Source organism: Homo sapiens, chromosome 3, assembly GCF_000001405.40.
Source record: "Homo sapiens chromosome 3, GRCh38.p14 Primary Assembly".
In the NCBI taxonomy this organism is placed as follows: Eukaryota; Metazoa; Chordata; class Mammalia; order Primates; family Hominidae; genus Homo; species Homo sapiens.
In genome coordinates, this window is record NC_000003.12 from 165,491,516 (window position 1) to 165,517,101 (window position 25,586).

Below are 25,586 nucleotides of genomic sequence, written 5' to 3' on the forward strand. Positions count from 1 at the left end.
ATGAAAGACTGTGGTCTGGTTTGGGTGCCTTCTCTTACATTCTCATTCACTTGTTGTGAGGGAATCAAGCTACAGTGTTTTAAGGTGCACACATGTCAAAGAACTGATGTTTTCAGCCGGGATCCAGCAAGGACCTGAGGTCATCCAAAAGGCATGTGAATGAGTTTGGAAGAAATCTTTCCCCAGTTGTGCTCTGAGATAATTGCGACACTGGCGTACAATTTCCTGAGAGATGTTGAGCCAGAACCACCACGCTGAGCAAAACAAGATTCCTGACCTGAGAGAACTGTGAGATGATAAATGTTTTGTTTTGAACCAAGGTATTTTAGAAAATTTATTACACAGCAATAGATAACAAATACATACAGTGGAAACATCTTCAGTATTGTAGACTTGAGTATGGTGGTTAGCAGGATATTTTCTGTCATCAGAAGTCAGCATAAGTAAAGGAAATTAACAATAGTTCAGAGAAGGCCATAAGATAGAAACTTGGTAAGGAAACACTGTACCTGTTCTACCTACTTCTAAGTTTTTCTTTATTTCCACCACTCTTTGATGCCATGGCAATAAATAATATATATACATACATATATATATATACACACACACACATATATATATATATACACACACACATACATATATATATATCTTTCAGGTTCTCTTTCTGCAGCCACTTACTAAGCTATAATGATAATAAAGGGACAAAAAGACTGGGAATTGAACTTCAGTCATAATGAAATGACTCCATAATTCAAAGACAAATAAACCCATAATTTCCTTTTTGGATTTAAAGAAGAAACATTTATCAAATAAACTGATAAACAATAATATACTTTTACGTAGCCTAAGATAAAAGCCATTTGTCTATATTAGGGTTCTGATAACAATACACAATTCTCACTCACAAAAAGATTTTGTCATGGGATCAGGAGTAACTGCAGGTGTTTATTTCCAGTCAGAATAACTGAAAAATTTCAACTGGACTTCCAATGTTTATATAAACCTGGTTGTTTCTACAGAAAAGTAAATAGTTTAATTACCATTTGCCACGATTCCTGTTTGGAAAGTTAGCTTTCTGAAAATATTGATAAGTGTATATTTCAGGGACATCAAATTATGAAACAGACAATTACATGACTTGTCAGTTCATTATGCTAGAAAGATTTAAAAGGTAAATTAGATTTTATAAGTCATACCAAATGTTCACACTGAAGGATTCAACACATCTTTAGAATACTTCAAGTATATTAGGAGAAAAAATGCAACTTTATTCTTGAGCTGATTCAGCAGAGTAGAAATAATTTTGACATTTGTAGTTTCTAGATGAGGCTTGATGTAAGAATAAAAATTCTTTCAGGAACTGTGTGTCTGTGATTTAAAAGTTTATGTTGAACAGTTTGAAAGTATGAAGACTACTTTTACAACCAAGAAAAGAAAATGAACTGAATTGAACTGAATGATTGAATCAACAAAATAGTAAACCTCTGCTCATATTATTAATATAGTCTTTCCTCTCATATTACTGGTAAGCCCATAAATAGCATCATATTATGCAATCCGAGAAACTTCCATGTCTAGGGTCAATACCAATTAAGATTGGGTGGCTCGTAGGGTGGAGGTGGTAGTCGTAGAGCTGACAGAATTTTGGTGTTAGCATTTGCTCATAGGCTGTTTTTTGACAACTTTTTAAAAAGCAGTTATTATGTGTCAAATATAATTTCCAGTTTAAATTAAAAATAAAGGCCTAGGATGTAATGGTAACCATGCAAGTATCTTGATTTTACATTTTTTATTTATTTTTATTTTAAAAAATAATTGTATAACATTTTATTGTGTGAAATATGTAAGTTGGGTTGGTTCACGTATTTTGTCATATATTGATTGACATTTAACTATATGTAGATTTATTAAATTGAGGATTATATTATAATTTACATTCTATAAGTAATATTTCAACTCAGTTGCTCTTTGTGATTAGTGAACAGAAAGTTTATATTTAATATTATAAATTGAAAACAATCTTTTATTGGCATAAAAATCTTAGGGTAAGCAAGGTAGGTAAAAATGTAAATATCAAGTTTGTCAATGTGAATTAGTTACTGTAAGTTATATAATGTTTAAAATATATTTTAAGACTAAAAAAATTGCATAAAAAGAAATAATCAATTTTTATATACTTCTTTCATGTACTTAAAAACATTTAGACTTTTGTTCAATGACAATGATTACAACTTTAAATATTTTCAGTATTAGGGTCTATGTAGAAGTTAACAATGTCATCATCTGTCATAAAATGAAGGAAATTCATCATGTTGTTATAGGACTAAAAATGTAACTTTCTGTACCATATTTTATTTTTTGCAATTCATACTTTGTTTATAATTGTGTTTGTGTTTTAATTTTTTTGGCATTTCTCATAATTAGTTTGTTTCTGGGGTAGATTGTTTTCTGTAGATCTGAGTTAAATTCATCATTTAGGAAGAGAATGTTACCTAGAAAGATTAAAGCAGCACTTTAAGCCATTGAGAGATACTGTAATAGTACTAAGACAAAATATTTTAAAAGACAAAAGTTTCTATAAAGTAAAATTGTACCTACAGTCAAGATAGAGTGAGAATTGTGCTTCCAGGAATTACTGCATAAACATTAGTTGAAAAGGATTTTCCTGTGGTTTAGCATTATTATATTACATGAAATATGAAGCTTTTACATTTTCTTTTGAGTCATCTGTCATTGGCCATGTTATGCCAAGAATTTGGGGATATTATCCTCTAAGGGTGTTAGTTGTTCCTTGGACCCACTTTTCTACCTTGTGGGACTCATTGAGTATCAAATCATTCTTGCAGATTTTTCTAATATAAAAAAATAAAATATCACTGCTTTTAAAGGCTTCAGGTTATTTCATTATCTTCCTTGAGTATCTGAAACATTCTAACCCATTTGAATGAGGATAATTTTGAACACGAGTCAGTCTTCTTTAAAAATCCACTTGTAATAATTTCTTATGATTCTCCACCGATTGAATCCAACATGTTTAATGAAAAACATTTAGTTCTAGAATTTTATGGGGTTGAACTGAACCACTCAGTATTGGATATATTTAGTAGAAAAAAGGACTTAAGAATATAATCCAGGAAAAATATGTCATTCAAAGACAGGACATGAAATTTATATGGTTATTAGAATTTGCTACCTACAGACAGTTTTCCCTCACAGAGTAGTAAAGACCTCCAGCAGGATTCTGACATGCTATTTTTATTTCCAACTGAAATGTCATAAATAATATTATTCACCTAAGAATTCTTGTATTCATATCTATTATTAAATTTAAAAACTGTATTTTTTTTAACCCCAGAGACAATAAAAGGATAGATACAGAGTTTTGGTTTTTAGAAGTCCATTATATAAATCTCATCCTTAATTTCATTTCCACAAATGCACATATTCAGTCCAGAATTCTGATAGGTTGATGAGTTTACAAGAAGGCCCCTCTATTAGAGATAACTTTAGTCATGTTTTTGATAGAATGTCACTAGGAAATTACTATAGTTACAGGTTTCACTGGCTGTAGGGATGCCTGTATATGTTATTTCTTTTTGTGTATGTGGTCCAAAAATTTTGCTTATATTGTTGACATTTTTCAGTTCTGCCATACCAATCCTTGATGCAACATTTCATAATTGGTTTTCATCTCTTTTTTAGGATGCCCTGCGGTTGTTTTCAGGACTGAAGACAACAGCTCCACGATGTATCTTTGCATAAGAATACACTTGTATAATAAGTTTTTTTTTTTAGAGAAATTGCATGTATCTGCCTTATAAACTTTTTCATTCATTCATTTTCTTTCTTCCTAATCTGTTCCATAAAGCAAATTTCTAACTTATTGTTAATCAAAATAATTATTGAAATAATTAGTACTTTCATATGATAAAGATTATTTTAATCTGCAGCTACAAAATATGTAACTCATTAATATTTAAACAATCACAATTTTCTATTAACATTATAGCATTTTATCTACTACTAGATCAGGAATTAGCTATTTTTTGTAAAATTTCTTTGTAAGGCAAAGCAATAGTATTGTATATACTTTCCTAAAGATTGTCAAGTTCAGTTTTGCTTAAATTTAACAGTACATGTGACACTTTCTGTTTGAAGAATAAGTTGGTTTTAAGTTTATACCAAACAAAAGCATCTCTTTTGTTTTGCAAAATCTGAAACTTTGATCTTTCTAGTTGTGACTTCTTGTAAATATGTTTTATATAAATATTCTATGAATTGGTTATTAACAAGGTAAAGAAAGATTGATATGTAAGCTGATTCTTAAACATTAATTTTCTGGAGATAAACTTTTTTAAAATTATGCTTTAAAAATATTTTAACACATGTTATCAAAAAGGAACTGAAATATCTTAGGCATAAAAGACATCTCTAGAGGTCATTATTCAGTTTCCAGAAAGTACTGAAACTATCTCTGACAGATTGATACGTTTTCTGCATTTATAGCTCTCTGGAGAGAGGTTCTGTATATTTAACAATTCTCACTGTGAGGGATATTTTAAGTATTTCAAATTTAAAGTGCTCATGTTTCAGATTCAGATTATTATTATCATCATCATTATTTTGGTTCTGGCTTCAGTAAAAATGTGAAAAACACTTTTCCATCTTCTGATAATATTTCATATTTATAAAATTATTATTAAGTTATAACTCAGCTTTTTCATTTATGCTTTAAATCCTTTTATTATCTCATCACAACCATCTTTGACTGTTTATCAGAAATGGTTCTCTTTTGTACATTGACCATTATTTTATAGATCACATTTAAGTTAATATAAATCATGCCTATAAATTTCAGCCTGCTTATTTTTTATAATCTAGTCAGATATCAGCTAGACATATTGTTACCAAGTTTGGAGAGCCTTGGGATAAGCTAGTTTCAAAACTGGCTGTTAGCATCCCTCAGTTGTGTTTTGGGAGCAAAGGACACCCTTAAAAAAGGGAGGCAGTTATATTTTGTGAGCATTATAAAATAAACTTAAATTCTCATAAAATTAGTGAATATGTTTGGAACAGTGTGAATTACGTGTGTGCTACATGAAGTATATAGAATTCATTTGAAGTAGGAAGTCTGGCCTTACCTCAAAAGACAGTCATTCAATTAAGCAGTTAAACATAAGCCACCATAAGAAGTTTTTTTGATACTTAGAGAGAGAAAGGCAACGTGTATTAAAATTCCGGGACCATTATCTCAGGAGTGCTGTGTTATTATTGACTGGGGGCCTGCTGGGAAGCTAGAAATATATCTAAAATGTGGCAGGTGGTTAATTAGAGCATATGAATAAATATATATAAATTTGTTAAAGCGTTCACTTATGGTAAACTATACCTCAATTAAAAAGAAAAAATATGCACAAAGAAAATAAATAATGAATGGAAATATGAGCCTCTAAAATCAAAGTTAGAAAAGCAGATATTCAAATTTGCAGAGCTGATTGTCAACTGGAATGATTGTGATAGAATCAAGTCTCACTAGCTCATTGGAAATAGGATTTGTTAAGGTAATGATGGTTAATGATTTTTCAGCATAATAACAGCCAAGTTAATGTATGGGTGCGTGTGTGTATCCATAGGTGTATGTTTTTACATGCGTATTTTTATTGTAAAATTAACATGTTTATTGAAAACAAGAAAGCACAGAAAATATCAACTTAAGTAAAGATCAACATAATTTAGTTCAAAATTATATTCAACAGTGCATTATTTCAATGTTTTTTATCTTAATCCATTTGCTTGAAAGCATTGATATATGCTCCAAATTTCCTCCCAGATTCCACTTGGGGAAATATTTAGTATATTGGATTATGAAATGATTTATCTTTACCTATATTATTAGTAAAGTTCTTAAAATTTTTAGCCTGTTACTGTCTATGTGATTAGTGATATTGTTCACATGACTAAAATTCAAAGATAAAATATGATTATATTTTATGGGTGAAAGTTAGGAAGCAAAATAGCATATTAATACATTTAACTAAAGTAGTATTCATTTGGATAATCAAGGTCAAACACTTCAAAAATAATAATTTTAAAGTTAATGCTTTCAAAAAATAAATTAGCAAAAATTATTTACTTTGTTTCTTAAAAAGAAGAATTATTGAAAAAAATTCTACCATCAAAAAATAGTTGTTCTATGCCTAGTTTATTTTAGTCACTGAATAAGACTGAGCCCTTGACCTCATATTTTTTCCTGCCTCACCATTAGCAGTTAGGTTTAGCTATGCAAACCTTTATTTATTCAACATATATAAAATACTTAGTATGCAGTAGATGTTATTCTAAGTGCTTGGTAGATATCAACACATTTAATAATCAAAACAACTCTAAGAGGTAATTAGTACTATTATCTCCATTTTATTACTGAGGAAACCAAAGCACAAAGAGAGAAAGAAAAGAAAGAGAAAAAAGGAAGAAAGAAAAGAAAGATGAAAGAAAGAAAGAGAAAGAAGAGAGAGGGAGAGAGAGAAAGAAAGAGAAGGAAAGAAAGAAGGAAGAAGAAAGAAAGAAAGAAAGAAAGAAAGAAAGAAAGAAAGAAAGAAAGAAAGAAAGAAAGAAAGAAAGAAAGAAAAAAGGAAGGAAGGAAAAGAAACACATGGAAAGTGGTATGTAGACCTGCCATTTCAATCTATACCTTCTGCCTCTGTGCTTCTATACCTCCTGAGTTTAATATATACTTCTTTATTTAAACAGTTTTAATATATAAATGCTAATTTTTCTATGATATAATTTTATAATAAATAAATAAAATTAGCTTGCTATCAAAATATCCCAGTTCATAATTTTATAACTTCACCTCTAGACCATGAGTAACCCTCAACCTACCATCTCCTCTTTTTGGACATCTTTGGTATTTGTATCCCTGTTTCTTGGTCTCTAAATATCTCTTCTTTTATTCATGTGTTACCTTTCCTAATGACAGAACCCTTTTCTTAAAAAAAGAATTATGAGTTAGTGTAATGTATAAATAGAGACATTAGATGAAGGACAAAATAATATTCTCCAAAAAGTTATTTGAGGTGGCTTAGTGAAGTTGAAAAAGCATAGTCTTTGGTATCACATAGACATAAATGTACCTTTGGGCAAATCTATAAACCTCCCTAAACCAGCTTTTACAAACAAAATTGTGTTCATTATAGGAATTAAAGGTATCAATTTCACAAAATCACGGGCAGTAAATTGATAGACCTCAGAACCTAAGGCACGGGTCTGAGGAAACGAAAGCACAAAGAAACAGAGAGAGAGAGGGAGAGAGACGAAGGAAAAAGAAAGAACCAAAGAAGGAAAGGAAAGGAAAGGAAAGGAAAGGAAAGGAAAGGAAAGGAAAGGAAAGGAAAGGAAAGGAAAGGAAAGGAAAGGAAAGGAAAGGAAAGGAAAGGAAAGGAAAGGAAAGGAAAGGAAAGGAAAGGAAAGGAAAGGAGAAAAGAAAAAAGAAAAGAAGGGAGGGAGGAAGGGAGGGAAGAAAGGAAGGAATGATTAGAGGAAACTCAGAGGTTATTCTCTCTGTATCTCTAGTTTCCATTTTATTGATTCTGCTTTCTCCAGACAGGCTCCCTTTGTATATCACCTTGCATGGTAAAGTGCAGAGAGCTCCATCAGAGAAATGCAGTTAAAATCCAGTAGATACCACCGTACACCTGAAAGACTTGTGAACAAACAGATGACAGAAAAACAAAACAAAGCAAAACAGAACCTGAGAATTTGAATTGCTGGTGAGGATATTGAGCAAGTGGAATTCCTATACTTTGCTGGAGGGAATGGAAAATAGTACAGGCAATTTGGAAAAGAGTTAGACTGTTGTATATAAAATTAAATACATACTTACCTTACAAAGTAGGAATCTCATTCCTAGATGTCTTCCTAAGAAAATTGCAAACTTTATGTTCAAACAAAAACGAATGTAAACATTCACCTACAGGTGAATGGATAAATACATTGAGATAAATCTATGCAATAATACATATTACTCAACAATGAAAAGGAATTCACTACTGATATGTGAAACATGGTAGACTGAGTAATGCCTTCCCTTCTTTCCAAAGATGTCCATGTCCTAATCCCTAGAACCTGTGATGTTACTTTATCTGGAAAATTAAACTTTGTAGATGTGATTAAATTAATGATTTTTAGCTGGGTACATCATCTTGGATTATCTGGTGGGCCTGATGTAATCACAGGGGTTCTTATAAGAGGGAGGCAGGAAATCAGAGAGAGGAAAAAAGGTGTGGAGAAATATGTGACAACAGAAACAATGATAAAATGATTAAAATGACACAAACAGGAGCCAAGGAATGCTATAAGCATCTGAAATCTGAAGGCAGCAGGTAATGGATACTCCCCTGGAGCCTGTAGAAGAAACCAGCCTCCTGACACCTTGATTTCAGCAAAAGTATTTTAAATTTCTCACCTAGAAGTGTAAAAAAATATATAAATAAATTTGTGTTGTTTTATGCCAGTAATTTTGTGATATTTTGTTACGACAACAATAGGAAATTAATATACCCAGCAATGCAGATGAATCTCCAAAGCATCATGCTAAGTGAAAGAGTACTTGTTACTGGATAAAATTAAATTGTGTGTTGTATTTTGCGTATGCACATACGAGTACTCATTCTGATAAAATCTAATCCAAGTGAAAAAGTAAAATATCCACCATATTTTTTCCCCTCAACTATGATTATCCCTGCCTTCTACTTTTATTTTAAACTTCATTTCCAAAATTTATGTACCAATTTTTCATTCTGCAGTTGAATGTTGTATTGAATCTTGTACTAAGAGAATGTCACCCATATTCGGGGTTTATTTTATTCTCTTTCCCTCTTTCTGCTCAGACTTCTTTAAACATCTTTCTTCTCTAGTAATTTTTTTTTCCCAATTGTCCTAGTGTGTTTTTTCAATTTGCTGATGTTCAAGGAAAACCCATTGAGGTTTAAAAATATTATGTTGGTAATTTTTTTTCTAAAAATAAGAAACAGATTTATACTTAAAATATTTACTATAAGGATTGACACTGGTGCTCTTTCTTGGGCCATTTATCGGATAATCAAGCATCATGACCTTAGGTAACAAGCAAGGTAGCCTGCCAGAGTATTACACAATCCAAAAGAGTTGATTTGCTTTCATCAGATTTTGCCCATTAAAGAGATTTATAGATTTCATAATCTTAAATAGCACAAAAAATTCCAATACTTAGTAATGAGATAGATCAAGACCATGACAGTCATCTGAACACATAGATGTTTGCTGCAAAAAATGTATCAATTTTTTTTTTTTTGAGACGGAATCTTGCTCTGTCACCCAGGCTGGAGTGCAGTGGCGCGATCTCGGCTCACTGCAAGCTCCACCTCCAGGGTTCACACCATTCTACTGCCTCAGCCTCCCAAGTATCTGGGACTACAGGCACCCGCCACCACGCCTGGCTAATTTTTTGTATTTTTAGTAGAGACAGGGTTTCACCATGTTAGCCAGGATGGTCTCGATCTCCTGACCTCGTGATCCACTCGCCTCAGCCTCCCCAAGTGCTGGGATTACAGGCGTGAGCCACCGTGCCCGGCCCCAAATTTTTTTTTTTCTTTTTTTGAGTTTACAGACAAGATGCTAATTTACAAATGAGAGTGTTTCCTACCTGCTTATCTTTCTATTACAGTAAGTGTTTTATTTTGTTGTATAATAAATAGAATATTTTTGACAAAAAGTAAACACAACCAGTCTCTTCAAAGTATAAGCGAAGTTTTGACAGTGAGTTCAGAAGGAAGGATTTGTTGAAAAAAAGTTGTATTATACAGAATTTCAAATACATAAGTCTAGAAACTTTTCTAATACTTTGTAATTTTGTGGAAGAAATTCAAGCTTGTCACTTATTAAAATGTACACAAAGTTAAACTTAAAAAGCAAACAAACTAACCTTAGTATTTGAGATTTCCTAAATTGTTTTAAAATAATCTAAAAGAAAATGTTAAGTGGGCTTTTAAAATATACTACATAAAAATATTTAACCCATTACTATGCAAGAACAACTGACTGAAATAAATGAGGATTTAAATTTTCTAGTCAAATATCCGTAGATATTTGTATAGTTATTGGTTGAGATTTAGAAAAAGTAGCGTGATCCTTTAAAGTTTCCCTCTTTATGAAGCTCTAAAATAGATTTTGTACATTTTCAAAGTTTAAAAATAATTATTTAGAAATTTCTAAATTATCTTAAATACCTTACAACAACAACAAATCTAAAAGAATTTCAGAAAGACACCAAGAATAATTAATGCCTCTAGGTATTCTTAGTTTCTACTTTGGAAACGTCACTTTGATGGTCTTAGTCTATTCTTTTATTACTACTTATGGGGGTTTTTTTGTATTTATAAACCACACTATTACAAAATTGTATATTACTTTATAAACCCTTCAATATACATGGCACTAGGCTAATATATGATGTAAATTATCACTAAATAATCTAGCTTTCTTATGAGATTTATATGTAAACCTTATATCTTTTTTACTCTAACAGTTCCTAGAGTGGACAAACAGTTTAGAAAAATAGAAATAGTTTTAGAAAAATAGAAAATTTTCACCTGGGTGCAGTTGGTCATGCCTGTAAACCCAGCAGTTTGGGAGGCTGAGGTGGGAGATGATTTGAGCCCAGGAGTTCAAGAACAGCCTGAGCAACATACTGAGACGCTGTTTCTAAAAACAAGACAAAACAAACAACAAAAGAATTAGCCGGGCATTGTGGCACACATCTGTAATCCCATCTACTTGGGAGGCTGCGGTGAGATGATTGCTTGAGCAGTGAGGTTGCAGTGAGCCGAGATTGCACCACTGCACTCCAGCCTGAGTGACAGAGCAAAACCTTGTCTCAAAAATAAATTAAAAAAAAAAAAAAAAAAAAAAGGAAAATAGAAGATATTGGAAAGCCAATTAGGATGAAAAGACTTGTTTATATTTCTCCAATATTTCTCCCCCTTTTGGGGGTATATTGTTTTTCTTTCAGTTATAAACTCTTCTGGGGAATCTTATACTGCTGAATTAATCTGTAGTATGTTTGTTTGTAGGGAGTGATAAAGAAGTAGGAATTCAATCAGGGTTATATCAATGCATTTTATGAAATGACTACTATTTAAAAAGAGGATTAGCCAAGGATTTTCTCCTGAAAATAGCTAGAAATTTGTCTAATTCATAGTGGATGACTTATTATAGATAGTGTCTATCTCCTTGTTCTCAAACACTGACATTCTGTTTGGCTTGGTAACCAGCTCCTCTTTCTATTTGTGTTTAGTTTCAGTAATTGTGCTTGTATCTTCTTGTAAAACAAATCTCATTTGATTACTAGACCAAATCAGCCTATTTGTGTACAGAACCCCAAGGGACTAGCATTTAATCCCTTGAGTACTTAACATTCTTGTGAGTCAGGAGCAAAGCTAAAGTAAATTGATGATCAGAGGCACCAATGCCTAAATTCGTGGGTAGAGCTGACAGATACACTCTTCGTTCTATTAAAAGCTTGTAGACGTATTTTTTCCCCAATAACCTCCAAGAGGGAACAAATTTAAAACACCAATAGAAGCATTTTGAGCCATTAGAAAGAATGAATTTATAGTCTGAATTAATTCTTAAAAATTATAAATTTAAAGGAATGAAATTTCTACTTACTTTGCTTATTGTGATACAAAAAGACAGTATGGTTGTCTCTGTGGCCTCTTCACTGCACAGTCTCATTTGTGTGCTTTTGATTTTTCTTTCTCACATTCTTCAGCTATTGTCTGTAACAGTACAAGTTGTCTTATTAGCAAATCTTCATTTCTAGTTTTATATTGTGCTTGGATTTTTCTGTAAGTCTACATTCATATTTATTCAATCTGTTTTCTCTCTTGAATTAGCAAAAAAGTCAGAACTGCTGATGACTGAATAGAAACAGCATTGTAGAGCTGGCATTTACTACTCATAAGGAAAGGAACCAAAGTAAACACTGGCCATAAATTCAAATAGGCCAAAGTAAGAAAAAACAAAGCCAATATAAGCCAGTCAGAGGCAATGTCAGGATAGTAGGAAATCTGTGTGTGGGAAGAGCTAAAATAGATGAAAAGAGGTAAGTTTGGAAGCATTCCATGAGCATACAGGTAGTTGAGTCTGGAATAATTTTATGCCATATCTATAAGCAATGTTTGCTGTAATGAAACCAGTTCAGGGAAATTTAATATTTATTTTAAATTGGCTTTTATAATACTATTGAGAATTATTTTTTAAAATCAGGTTGGAAGTCAAAGACGGTTCTTTTTGTTTATATTTTTAAATGATGTACAATCATTAATATGGTAATATATAACATGCTGTTACCTGCTTCAGCTATTTCCCAGAAGTACACACAGGTGTTTAGTGGTAGGGCTATCTCCTCTTCACAGTTAATTGAATTGCAGTAGCTTTGTGCAATTCCAAATGCTCCTTTGTTCTCTTGGGATTGATTTGTTGCGGCATTGCTAGGTGGATATAAAAATAGCCTCTTGTCTTTCCGATTTTAAATGTCTGTGGGCTTTCCCTTCTACCGTTTAGTAACTAATGTCTCAGGGTAGTGTTAACTGTAATTTCAAACCACAGGAATATACTGGTTAATGCCATAGGGGCTGCATTCTTTTCCAGCTCTCCTACCCAGAATTTGGGGTTTATGTGATTCTACTTAGAATTCCCGCATCTATGCCTCAGTCCTGAATCTCCTGAACTAGATCTTCTTAGGGCTCTGTATTTGGCTGGTAATTAGATTTTTATGCTTATACCAGTTTAACGTTAGGACAGCCAACTGCTTTCCCAAGGGTCTCGGCTTGTCTGATTTTCTATTGTATTAACTAGTACTATGGCAATGACAAATGGCTGAATTCCCAAATGAACTAGCATAAGCAAAATTAAAGAGAAGTAGTGGTTTCCATAGCTGGAGCTTTCACCCACACCCCTGAACCCCACTTCTACCTTCCCAGGTTTTCATTTTTCTCTGTAGTTCTTTGGTTACATCTCGCAGATAGGGTTTCTTTACTTTGAGAGAAAGTTGAGTATTGTGAGCATCAAATTCAAGTTTGCCTATTCAGAATCTTAGGAGGAAGCAGAAGAAAGCTGCTCTCCCCCAGCACCTAAAAATTGATTCCAGTAGAGGACTGTGGCTCCTAGGTCATGTGATCACAGATGGGCTATTTACTGAATCTGAAAAGTCTAACTCATGTAAACATTCCTGTTGTAACAAGATAAGACAGTGCTGATATTAGAAAATGGATATGGGAGAACTTTTCAAGCAAATAAAAACCAGTATACTTATCTTTCCCTAGAACATTTTTTTCTTTTTAAATTTCATTATTGAATAACCTATTCCCCTAGGTTTCATCCTTTTTCTACCTCTGCTTAAGTGGCTGGTCATAATGTACCAATCCTTTTCTGGGCGCTAAATCAATAATCAGAGAACTGCATCTAGCATGTCACTGAAAAATTAGTAGACTGAAAATTTTAACACCTGAGCCCTAGTACCAATTCATTAGAAACTCAGTGTAAGACCTTGGACTAGTCACTTGAGCTGTTTATGAGTCAGTTTTTTCACCTTTAAAATAGTGGTAATAAAGTTACTACCCTTAGGGTCAATTTGAGGGCTAACTTAGATAATATATATTTATCCTTTAGACTAGTTCTTGACATATATAGTATAATTACATAAGTGTTAGTTATAATAATATTGTAATGATTAATATCCATAGGACTATGTTTTCATATCTGTAAAATGAGGGATATACTTTAGATGAGAGTCTTAGAAAAGCCTATATGGCTCTATTAGTCAATTTTCACACTGCTATAAAGATCTTCCCTGAGACTGGATAACTTATAAAGAGAAGAGGTTTAATTTACTCACAGTTATGCATGGCTGGGGATGCCTCAGGAAAGTTACAATTATGGTGGAAGGGGAAGAAGGCATGTCTTACATGGTAGCAGGCAAGAGAGAGAGTGTGTGAAGGAGGAACTCTCAAACACTTATAAAACCATCAGATCTCATGAGAACTCACTATCATGAAAACAGTATGCGGGAACTGCCCCCATGATCCAATCACTTCCCACCAGGGCCCTTCCTCAACATGTGGGGATTATGGAGATTACAATTCAAGATGAGATTTTGGTGAGGACACAGAGCCAAACCATATCATTCCACCTGGCCCCTTCCAAATCTCACATTCTTTTTACATTTGAAAACCAATCATGCCTTCTCAACAGTCCCTCAAAGTCATAACTTATTCCAGCACTAACCCAAAAGTCCAAGTCCAAAGTTTCATCTGATATAAGGCAAGTCCCTTCCACCTAGGAGCCCATAAAATCTAAAGCAAATAAGTTACTTCCTAGATACAATGTGAGTACAGGAATGGGGAAAATGCTCCCATTCCAAATGGGAGAAACTGGCCAAAACAAAGGGACCACAGGTCCCAGGAGGCCTAAAATCTAGCAGGTAGTCATTAAATTTTAAAGCTCTGAAATAATCTCCTTTGACTCTATGTCTCACATCCAGGGCACACTGATACAAGAGGTGGGCTTCCACAGCCGTGGGCAGCTCTATCCCTGTGGCTTTGCAGGGCACACAACCCCTTCCCCCCTGGCTGCTTTCATGTTCAGTGTTTAGTGTCTGTGACTTCCCCAGGTGCAAAATCCAAGCTGTTAGTGGATCTACCATTCTGGGGTCTGGTGGGTGGTGGCCCTCTTCTCACAGCTCCACTAGGCAGTGCCCCAGTGGGGACTCTGTGTGGGGGCTCAAACCCCACATTTCTCTTCCAGACTGCCCTAGCAGAGCCTCTCCATGAGGGCTCTCTCCCTGCAGTAGATTTCAACCTGGACATCCAGGCATTGCCATAGATCCTCTGAAGTCTTGACTTCTGTGCCCCTCTAGGCTCAACACAACATGAAAGCCTCCAAGGCTTGGGGCTTGAACCTTCTGAAACAATGGCCCAAGCTGTACCTTGGCCCATTTTAGCCATGGCTTGAGCTGGAGTGGCTGGGATGCAGAGTACCAAGTCCTGAGGCAGCACACAGCAGCAGGGCCCTGAGCCTGACCCATGAAACCATTTTTTCCCCTAGGCCTCTTGGCCTGTGATGGGAGGGGCTGCCATCAAGCTCTCTGACATGGCCTAGAGACATTTTCCCCATTTTCCTGGTGATTAACATTTGGTTCCTCATTATTTATGTACATTTCTGCAGCTGGCTTCAATTTCTTTTCTGAAAACAAGTTTTTCTTTTCTATCACATCATCAGACTGCAAATTTTCTGAACTTTTATGCTCTGCTTCCCTTTTAAACATAAGTTCCAATTTCTGATAATCTCTTTCAAGTTAAAATGTCACAGATCTCTAGGAGAGGGACAAAATGCTGCCAGTCTCTTTGCTAAAGCATAGCAAGAGTGACCTTTGCTCCAGTTCCCAAGAAGTTCCTTATTTCCGTCTGAAATCACCTCAGCCTGGACTTCATTGTCCACATCATTATCAGCATTTGGTGAAAACTATTCAACAAGTCCCTAAGAATTTTCAAACTTTCCCACATCTGTCTTCTGTGCCTCTCAAACTGTTCCAACCTCTGACTGTTACCCATTTCCAAAGTAACTTGCACATTTTCAGGTTATCTTTATAGCACTGCCCCACTCCTGGTACCAATTTCCTGTGTTAATCTTTTTTCGCACTGCTATAAAGAACTTCCCTGAGACTGCTGTATGTGTCAGCAGTAATTTATTTAAAAAGGAGATTTAATTGACTCACAGTTCCACATGGCTGGGGAGGCCTCAGAAAACTTATAATCATAGCAGAAGGGGAAGCAGGCACATTTTACACAGTGACAGGCAAGAGAGAGTATGTGAAGGAGGAACTGTCAAACATTTATAAAACCATCAGATCCCATGAGAACTCACTCACTGCCATGAGAACAGCTTGGGGGAAACCGTCCCTATGATCTACTTACCTCCTACCATGTCTCCTAGATATATAAATAGTTCATGGAACAGAAATTTAATGGACTCGCAGTTCCACATGGCTGGGGAGGCCTCACAGTCATGGCAGAAGACAAAAAAAACATGTCTTACATGGCAGCAGGCAAGAAAAGAATGAGAGTGAAGTGAAAGGGGTTTCCCGTTACATAACCCTCTTATCTCATGAGACTCATTCACTATCATGCTAACAGTATGGAGGAAACCACCCCCATGATTAAATTATCTCCCACTGGGTTCCTCCTACAACACATGAGAATTATAGGAGCTATGATTCGAGATGAGATTTGGGTGGGAACACAGCCAAACCATATCAGTAATTCAAGAAATTCTTACTAGATACTGCAAGTACTGCAAGTTCTTTTTGTCAGTCAAATACATCAACACATCAATTTTGATTATTGAGAATATAGTTATTTAACTATAATGAGATACCGTTTCACCTAGGTCAAATGACTAACATTAAAAATGTTGACATCAAATTTTGCATATAGAATGTCTTGAAGTGTCATATATTGTTGGCAGACATTTAAATGAATTAATTTTTTTTTTGCTGTTTTGTATTTCCTTTTAACCATATGTGTAAGTTATGGCCTAGCAATTTCAGTCCTATTTATGTACCTGAGATAAATGTAAATGTATGTGTACAAGAAGACACGTACCAAAAGGTTCACAGAGGCTTTTCTTCATTATAGCCCCAAACTGGCAACAACCTAAATGTCTGTCAACTGATAAATAGATTTTTTTTTTGAGATGGAGTCTTGCTCTATTGCCCAGGCTGGAGTGCAGTGGCACGATCTCAGCTCACTGCAAGCTTCACCCCTGGGTTCACGCCATTCTCCTGCCTCAGCCTCCCAAGTAGCTGGAACTGCAGGCACCCGCCACCATGCCTGGCTATTTTTTTTTTTTTTTTTGTATTTTTAGTAGAGATGGGGTTTCACCGTGTTAGCCAGGATGGTCTCGATCTCCTGACCTCGTGATCCACTCGCTTTGGCTTCCCAAAGTGCTAGGATTACAGGCATAAGCCACAGCGCCCAGCCAATTTTTTAAAATGCCACGTATCCTTACAATGAAATACTATTCAGTAATAAAAAGGAATGATTTAATATATAGCATAACCTGTAAGAATCTCAGAAACCTTATGTTAAATGAAAGAAGCCATTAACCAAAAATTGCATATTGCATAGTGCCATTACATGAAGTTCAAGAAGAGGCAAAACACATCTGTAATAATAGAAAGGAGAAAAGTGGTTACCTAGGAGTGTGGCGATTGACTGGAAGAGGGCCTGAGTGAACTCTCTGGAATGACAAAAATTTTCTTTTTCTTCATTGGGATAGTGGTTTCACAGGTATATACATTGAATTGTGTACAAGATCTATTCATTTAACTGTAGGTAAAATAAATTTGTGAATTTACATACATTTGTCTTATAATTGCATGATAATTAGCAAAAACATTCCTAATTTTTAATGAAGCCACCCTATTATTGTAATGGTTAATTTTGTGTATCAGCTTAACTGAGCCATGGAGGTGGTCATTCAGTTGGCCAAACATTATTCTGTATGTGTCAGCAGGGGTGTTCCTTGATAAGATTAATATTTGAGTGAGTAGACTGAGTTAAGCAGATTGCCTTCCCTAATTTGGGTGGGCCTCATCCAACCAACTGAAGAACTAATAGAACAAAATGTTTGAGTGAGAAGAAACTCCTACTGCCTGATTGTTTTAGCTGGGACATTGATCTTTTCTGGCCTTTGAACTCAGACTCAGAGGTTGATTTTGTTTAATAATCAAATTTTGATCGGTTATACAACATTAATAGCATGAAACAGATTGTATTTCATATCTTCATTTCAGAAAATGTAGCTACTTAGTCTCATCCCCTGTCACTCACCCTGTGTTCTGGAGGCATTAACTCACTTTGCAAGCTAATTTCCTCTGCATAACTCTCTTTTACCTTGCTTTAAGTAATTTATTCTTAGAAGTAAGCCTCATTTATTTAATTAACTCTCAGCTACACAATTCTCAACATCATTTTCTTAAGCATTATCATCAATAACTTCATCATTAGCAGAGAGACAGTTCAGATAAGTGGTTAATATCATAGACTTTGCATCCAAAATTACTAGCTGTTTGACCTTAGTTAACCCCTTTATATCTCCGTTTAAATCACTGCAGAAATAGCACCTATCACATATTGTTGTCATCATAAAATGACTTAACAGATTTCAAATACCTAAAAAAGTACTGAACATAACAAATAAAGTGACATAATCATTATAAAAAATAAAACTTTGTATATTGATACATTGTCTTCAGTACCATCACTAAGCGCAGGCTTCTGCTATAGGCTTTCAAGACTCAACAGGAAAAAAAGAAAAAGATAAGAGGCAAACTTTTTTAATTTATAAAACTTAACATTCACACATAAACCATAAGATTAATTCAAAATTAATATTGTAAAAAGTATATTGCATATGAAGTAAAATATAAAGTGTTGAAAAATATCAATTTAGTATTACCTTAAATTTACACATTCTCTTAGAGCCTAATAATTTAGATCAAATAGAGATGTATCTAAAAATGTCAAGTTTTTTGTTGTTATAAATCTAATTTGCCTGGCACTCAATTAGTATTCTTTCAGCTATGTTTTTTAAAAAATACAAGAACTAAACAGTAGAGTGAAGATTAGTTAAATTGTGGAAGAGTAGAATTTCTTTCAGATCATTAGAAGCAGAAATATGATTAAAATGAAGGAATAATTGTCTAATCTTGCCTGTGATGGCTTTTACCTTAATTTTGAACTTAAAAATACATGACTCAAAAATAATGTTGCTAACTTCTTGGGCTGTATTTTCTTCCACTGTATTCACAAAACCATAATTTTGTTTTTACCTGTAACTTACTTTCCTCAGGCGGTTATCAATAGAGTCCACTCTCTGGGCAAATTACTGAACTTGAGAAAAAAAGACAAATTTTTTTTTAAATAAAAAAAAAGATCTCCTCTCCCATTAAAGTCCAATATCTTAAACTATGCAGTACCCTGAGACTCTGTGCCCACCATACTCCCTTTTTTCTTTGCAATTTATTATCTCTCTCTTAAATGATTTCCATCAGCATGCAAATATTCCCTCTTTAAAAAATGAATTTCCTTTAACTTATATATCTTTCATCTGCTGCTGTATTTCTTAGTTCCCTTCAACAGAAAATTTTCTTAAATGTCATCTACTTTTGCTGTGCAGACGCTCTTTAGTTTCATTAGATCCCATTTGTCTATTTTGGCTTGTGTTGCCATTGCTTTTGGTGTTTTAGTCATGAAATCTTTGCCCATGCCTATATCCCGAATGGTACACAAGAAGAGAAAACCAAACACCGCATGTTCTCACTCATAAGTGGGAGTTCAACAATGAGAACACACGGACACAGGGAGGGGAACATCACACACTGGGGCCTGTCGGGGGTTCGGGAGCTAGGGGAAGGATAGCATTAGGAGAAATACCTAATGTAAATGACAAGTTGATGGGTGCAGCCAACCAATATGGTACATGTAACATATTGGCACCTATGTAACAAACCTGCCCGTTGTGCACATATACCCCAGAACTTAAAGTATAATTTTTAAAAAAATCATCTATAGTCACTATTCTTATAATTGCAGATTCTTGCCCTTCCTTTTTACTCTTCCCCAAGCTGTTTTCATTATTTTCCATTGATCAGGCTAGGGTTATGAGTGATCTCTAACAGTTGGGAAATTCACAGCTCATTCTAATAGGCTCACCTTACTAGCTATCTTAATGGAATCCAATACTGCTTACCTTACTTGATCTACTTTGTTAGTTGCAGCAGATTATATTTTCCAAAGATGACTAAACCAACATATCCCAACAAAGTAATATTGAGAGATGGGGGTCTATGTTTCCTCCATTGACTGATGGATTTTTGTTTCCTCTCCTCAGCTTCTTTGGACCTTTTAAGTTGCATTATCCCATAAAATGTGGTGGATTCAATGTTGTATGGCCTGTAAAACTAAGTAATGAAGGCTGATATGTACCCACCTGGCTCTGTCTTGGGATCACACAACTTGGGAGCCAAAACAGGTATGTAAGAAGTACAGCTACCCTAAAGCCACCATTCTGGAGTGATTACATGGAGATACTACCTAGCGATAGAGAGGAGGATTTAGAAACTCCAGCTGGCCCAGCTTCCAAGTGTGAATCTTCACAATACAGGCACCAGGCACTTGAGGGGAAAAGTTTCCATATAATTTCAGCCTTTTGCCTTCAAGTTATCCCAGCTTACACTTAGAGCAGAGTAAAGTAAGACCCCGGATCAAATTGCTGATTCACAGAACAAGATTTATTTTTAAATGACCTAAGTTTTGGAGTGTTTGTACTACACAGTCATAGTAGCTAAAACACTTGTCTTGGCTTCTACAGTAGTAGACATTTTGGATAGTCCCACCTCCACTGGTTGCCTCTTCTTGTTCTTTTCCACTGACTCCTATTTCTGTGCCCAGTCTTCTAATATTAGCATGCTTCAGGATCCTGGGCTACCCATTATGTTCTACATACATTATCTAAATTGTTTTATTTCGTCATTACCCATGGCATTTACATGGGTAATGAAAGTTATCCCCTTCTACTCCACCACCCTGCACTTCTATCCCTGGCATCTCCTCTTGAATCCTTGAATTCTAGGCACGTAAACATAATGGCCTACTTAACATCTCCACTTGAATATTAAATAAAGAATTCAAACTTAACACATACAATGCTGAGCTCTTGATCTCATCTCCTTGTAAAACAGACTTAAAAGTTGTTACTTCCCTAGTCTTCTTCATTTCAGTGAATAGAATTACTATTCACACAATTTCTCAAGTGCAAAATTTAGAAGTAATTTTTGATTACTCTCTTTCTCTCAATGACTGCATCTAATTTATTTCCACTGATTGAACCTCTACAATATATCTCCAATCTTGTCTCCGTTTCTATTTCTTCTCCCCATTCAAGCTGCCAATATCTCTTTCCTAAACTTTAGCAATAGCCTCTGTAGTGATATCCTTAATTTCTGTCTTGATACACATTAATTTATCTTCCACATAGAAACCAGAGTAATCTTTTACTACAAAAATCAGATAACATTACTAATCTAGCTCAAAGCCATCTGATGTTTTTTCTTTTCATTTGAGCAAATTTTATTTTCCAAAGAAGACTTAAAGTCTCCCATCCTACATTTACTTCTGTGAATATAACTTGATATTCCTACCACTGTAGGGTGGGAGTCTATGTCCCCTCCCTTTAAATGTGGATGGCCCTATGATTCCAGCAGAACTGACACTACAGGTAATGAAATTAGATAAAGTCATACCTGATCCCCTTAGGACACTTTCTAACCCAGCCTCCATGCCTGAATAAATTCATGTAAGCTATGGAGAGGCCCATATGGAGAGATCTGGTTCCTCCAGCTTTAGCTAAGTTTTCAGGCCATAACCAGTATTAATTTGCCAGCCAAGAAAGTCAGCCATCTTGACAGGTGGAACAGAGGTGGGCTGTTCCATACTCACCATACTTTGTTAAGTTGCAGAATTATGAACAAAGAAAATTTTTGTTTTTCTTTTAAGTCACTAGATTTTGGGATAGTTTTTTTTTTTAATCCAGTAACAGGTAACTAATATAAATTTTGGTACTGGAAAGTGGAGTGTTGCTGTACAGACACTTAAACATGTAGCATTGGCTTTGAGATAGGCCACAGACGGAAGCCAGAAAAGCTTTGGCAAAGTGTTACCAGAAGCCTAAAGAATGTTGAGAAAGCTGTGTCTGACAGCTCAAGGAAAGTAGGAAAATGTGATTGGAAGATGTTTAGTAGCAGTGGAAACTTTGACAACACTATTACCTGAAGTAACAGGCAAGATGGGAAATATAGCAATGAACATGATGATCAAACTAAGGAAATTTTCAAGCAGAAAATTGGAAGTGTCACTGGGATTCTTTTCACTGCCTATGATAAAATGTCAGAGGGAGAGGAATGAGCTAAAAATTAAGTCTTAAGTATAAAATATTCAGAACTTTCTTAGCTGGAAAATAAATCAGTTTCTCTTTCTTACTCTTTCTAGATTGCAAATGATGTTCAAATCAAGGACTGGCTTAAGGGAGAAAATCAATTATACTGTACAACTCACACTTAAGACCTCAGAGAGATCTAAGATGATTCTTTATATAATTTTTAAAACAATCACCCCTCTAAGGAGCATAACAATGTGTTTTAAATGTCCTCCCCATTATACAGTGAGACTTATAAGAATCTCAAGGATGGTGTCCCAAGGCAAACTCATGGCAAGATCAAGAAAGAGAATGGCCTGTCTTGACAAGATTTGTGGTTTTGGCTTTCGTCTGATGGAATGAATTGTACACAAATACACAGAAATCCCACAAATATTAAAATAATTGTATCAACTTGTAAGAAAAAGGGAAAGAAATAGCTTAAAATGGAATATTGCTAAGCCCTCAAACCTTTACAAGCAGGAAATAGGTGTAAACAGGCTTAGGAAAATGGAAGGTGGACTCAGGGCAGATTGAGGAGATCTTGGAGTGCAGCAAAGAGCCATAGAGAGCAATTTCCAGGGAGTAGGACTGAACTCTAACCAAATAATTGGCAGCATGTGCCTGGCATTTCAGGATTGACATGGACCGGTGACTACTGTGTTCCTTCCCATTCCCCACCCTTTTGTGTAGGATTGTCTGTAGCAGTTTCCCAATGCCTGTTCCTCCACTTGACGTTGGGTATTTGGAGAACAAGAAAAATTCTCTTTTTAGGTCAGATGTGTGACATGTATCACATTGTAAAAAAGAGTGCTCAATGAGCTGTATTTCAGGAATTGCACTTAAGGGGAATTATTTTTACCTATATTGGATTAATATGATAAGATTTTGAACTTTGAGCTTATGTAATTATGAAGTGAGACCTTTAGTCTTGGGGAATGACTGTATTTTATATGCGAGAGGTATATAAATCACTGTGGCCTGAAGATAGACTGTGGCAGATTGTATTTTTCAAAGATTTCCTGTCACACTTTTTTTTTATTCTTTATTTTTCTCTTTCTTTCTCTTTCCTCTTTCTCTTTCCCTTCCTCCCTTCCTTCCTTCTTTCCTTCCTTCCTTCCTTCCTTCCTTCCTTCCTTCCTTCCTTCCTTCCTTCTTTTCTTTCTTTCTTTCTGAGAGGGTCTCACTCTGTTTCCTGGCTAGAGTGGTGTCACATTCATAGCTCACTGTAGCTCAAACTCCTGAGTGCAAACAATCCTCCTACATCAGCCTCCCAAGTAGCTTGGACCACAGGTGTGCATCCACTCCTGGCTAATTTTTTAATTTTAATTTTTGTAGAGACGGGGTCTCACTTTGTTGCTCAGACTGATCTTGAATTCCTGGCTTCAAGAGATCCTGCTGCCTCAACCTCTAAACTTGCTGGGATTGCAGGTGTGAACCACCATGCCCAGCTACTTTCTTTTTCTTACAATATGCCTTTGATGCTCTTCCCATCAAGAGGTATTCCTTTCCCTTGAATATGGGCAAGGCTGTGATTATTAATGCTATATGACTTTTGAGAGTAGGTCATGAAGCATGATACATTTTCCTAGTTCATTTAGGATGCTTGCTCTTAATACCTAGCCCCTATGCTTGTATAAGTCCAAGAGACCTGTTGTGGGGAGGCTCACATGAAGAAGAACGCAGGCACCTAGCCTACAGTCTGATTGAGCTCTCATCTGATAACCCATAAGAACTTGAGAGCCTTGTGAGTAAACCATCTTGAATCTTTCAGGACCCAGTTGAAACACTTCAGCTGATGCTGCATGGATCATTGCGGATTTGTGAGCAAAATAAATTAATATAGCTTTTTGTTTTAATTAAACAATATTTTTTGAGACAAGATCTCATTTTGTCACCCAGGTGGGAGTACAGTGGCACATTCACAGATCACTGTAGCCTCAAATTCCTAAGCACAGGAGGTCCTCCCACCTCAGCCTCCCCAGTAGCTGAGACCACAGCATGTGCCACTGTGTCTGGCTAATTTTTTATTTTTTTGTAGAAACGGAGTCTTGCTATGTTGCCCAGGCTGGCCTCATGTGATCCACTTGCCTCAGTCTTCCAAATTGTTGGGATTACAAGTGTGAGGCACTGCACTGAGCCCAATATTCCTTTTTAAGCTACTAAGTTTTGGACTGATTTGCTTCCCAGCAGTATACGATTGATAAAACACAGAATATAGAATAAAATTAATCTCTTATGTTGTCCTATGAGGCTTTGTGAGATTTAGTTTCTACCAACACCCCAAAGTCATGTCATACCATTTTTCACTGTGCTTACTTTGCTTCACTGACTTTTCTCCTGTTTTCTAAAACTAGCTAGTTCTTATCTTCAGGCTTTGTCATTGTCATTCCCTGCTGAGAATATTGTCTGTCCAAATCTTGTAATTCAGACTCAAAAATAGTCTGTGGCCACTCAATCTAAAGTAACCCACCACAAACTCTAGCCCATCTCCCTATTTATTTTCATCATGATATTTATATCTATCTCATCTAAATTTTATCTATTTGTCATCTATCTAATTGAAATTTCATGTTTCTTTACTACTAATACGCAAGCTCTGTTAAGACAGAAGTATTTAGTTTAATTAGATCCCATTTGTCAATTTTGGTTTTTGTTGCCATTGCTCTTGGTGTTTTAGACATGAAGTCTTTGCCCATGCCTATGTTCTGAATGGTATTGCCTAGGTTTTTGTCTAGGATTTTTATGGTTTTAGGTCTAACATTTAAGTCTTTAATCCATCTTGAATTAATTTTTGTATAAGGCGTAAGGAAGGGATCCAGTTTCAGCTTTCTACATATGGCTAGTCAGTTTTCCCAGCACTATTTCTTAAACAGGGAATCCTTTCCCCGTTTCTTGTTTTTGTCAGGTTTGTCAAAGATCAGATAGTTGTAGATATGTGGCATTATTTCTGAGGGCTCTGTTCTATTCCATTGGCCTATATCTCTGTTATAGGGACACTTTTACACTGTTGGTGGGACTGTAAACTAGTTCAACCACTGTAGAAGTCAGTGTGGCGATTCCTCAGGGATCTAGAACTAGAAATACCATTTGACCCAGCCATCTCATTACTGGGTACATACCCAAAGGATTATAAACCATGTTGCTATAAAGACACATGCACACGTATGTTTATTGTGGCACTATTCATAATAGCAAAGACTTGGAACCAACCCAAATGTCCAACAATGATAGACTGGATTAAGAAAATGTGGCACATATACACCATGGAATACTATGCAGCCATAAAAAATGATGAGTTCATGTCCTTTGTAGAGACATGGATGAAGCTGGAAACCATCATTCTCAGCAAACTATTGCAAGGACAAAAAACTGAACACCACATGTTCTCACTTGTAGGTAGGAATTGAACAATGAGAACACATGGACACAGGAAGGAGAACATCACACACCGGGGCCTGTTGTGAGGTGGGGGGAGCGGGGAGGGATAGCATTTGGAGATATACCTA

At 35.3% G+C, this 25,586-nt stretch overlaps 1 long non-coding RNA gene across 5 annotated transcripts in view; it reads left to right on the forward strand.

The window, feature by feature from the left end:
• LINC01322 (long intergenic non-protein coding RNA 1322) overlaps positions 1–25,586 on the forward strand; it is a 332,490-nt gene that overhangs the window by 284,568 nt on the left and 22,336 nt on the right. For 3 of the 5 annotated variants that reach the window (NR_174101.1, NR_174100.1, NR_174098.1), the window contains one exon: positions 19,996–20,136. The exons of 1 other annotated variant lie outside the window; for it this stretch is intronic. This is a non-coding gene — a long non-coding RNA (long intergenic non-protein coding RNA 1322). Of the gene's footprint in view, positions 1–19,995; positions 20,137–22,151; positions 22,214–25,586 lie in introns of those variants that run through there. One more of the 5 variants, NR_125764.2, reaches the window with a different exon arrangement.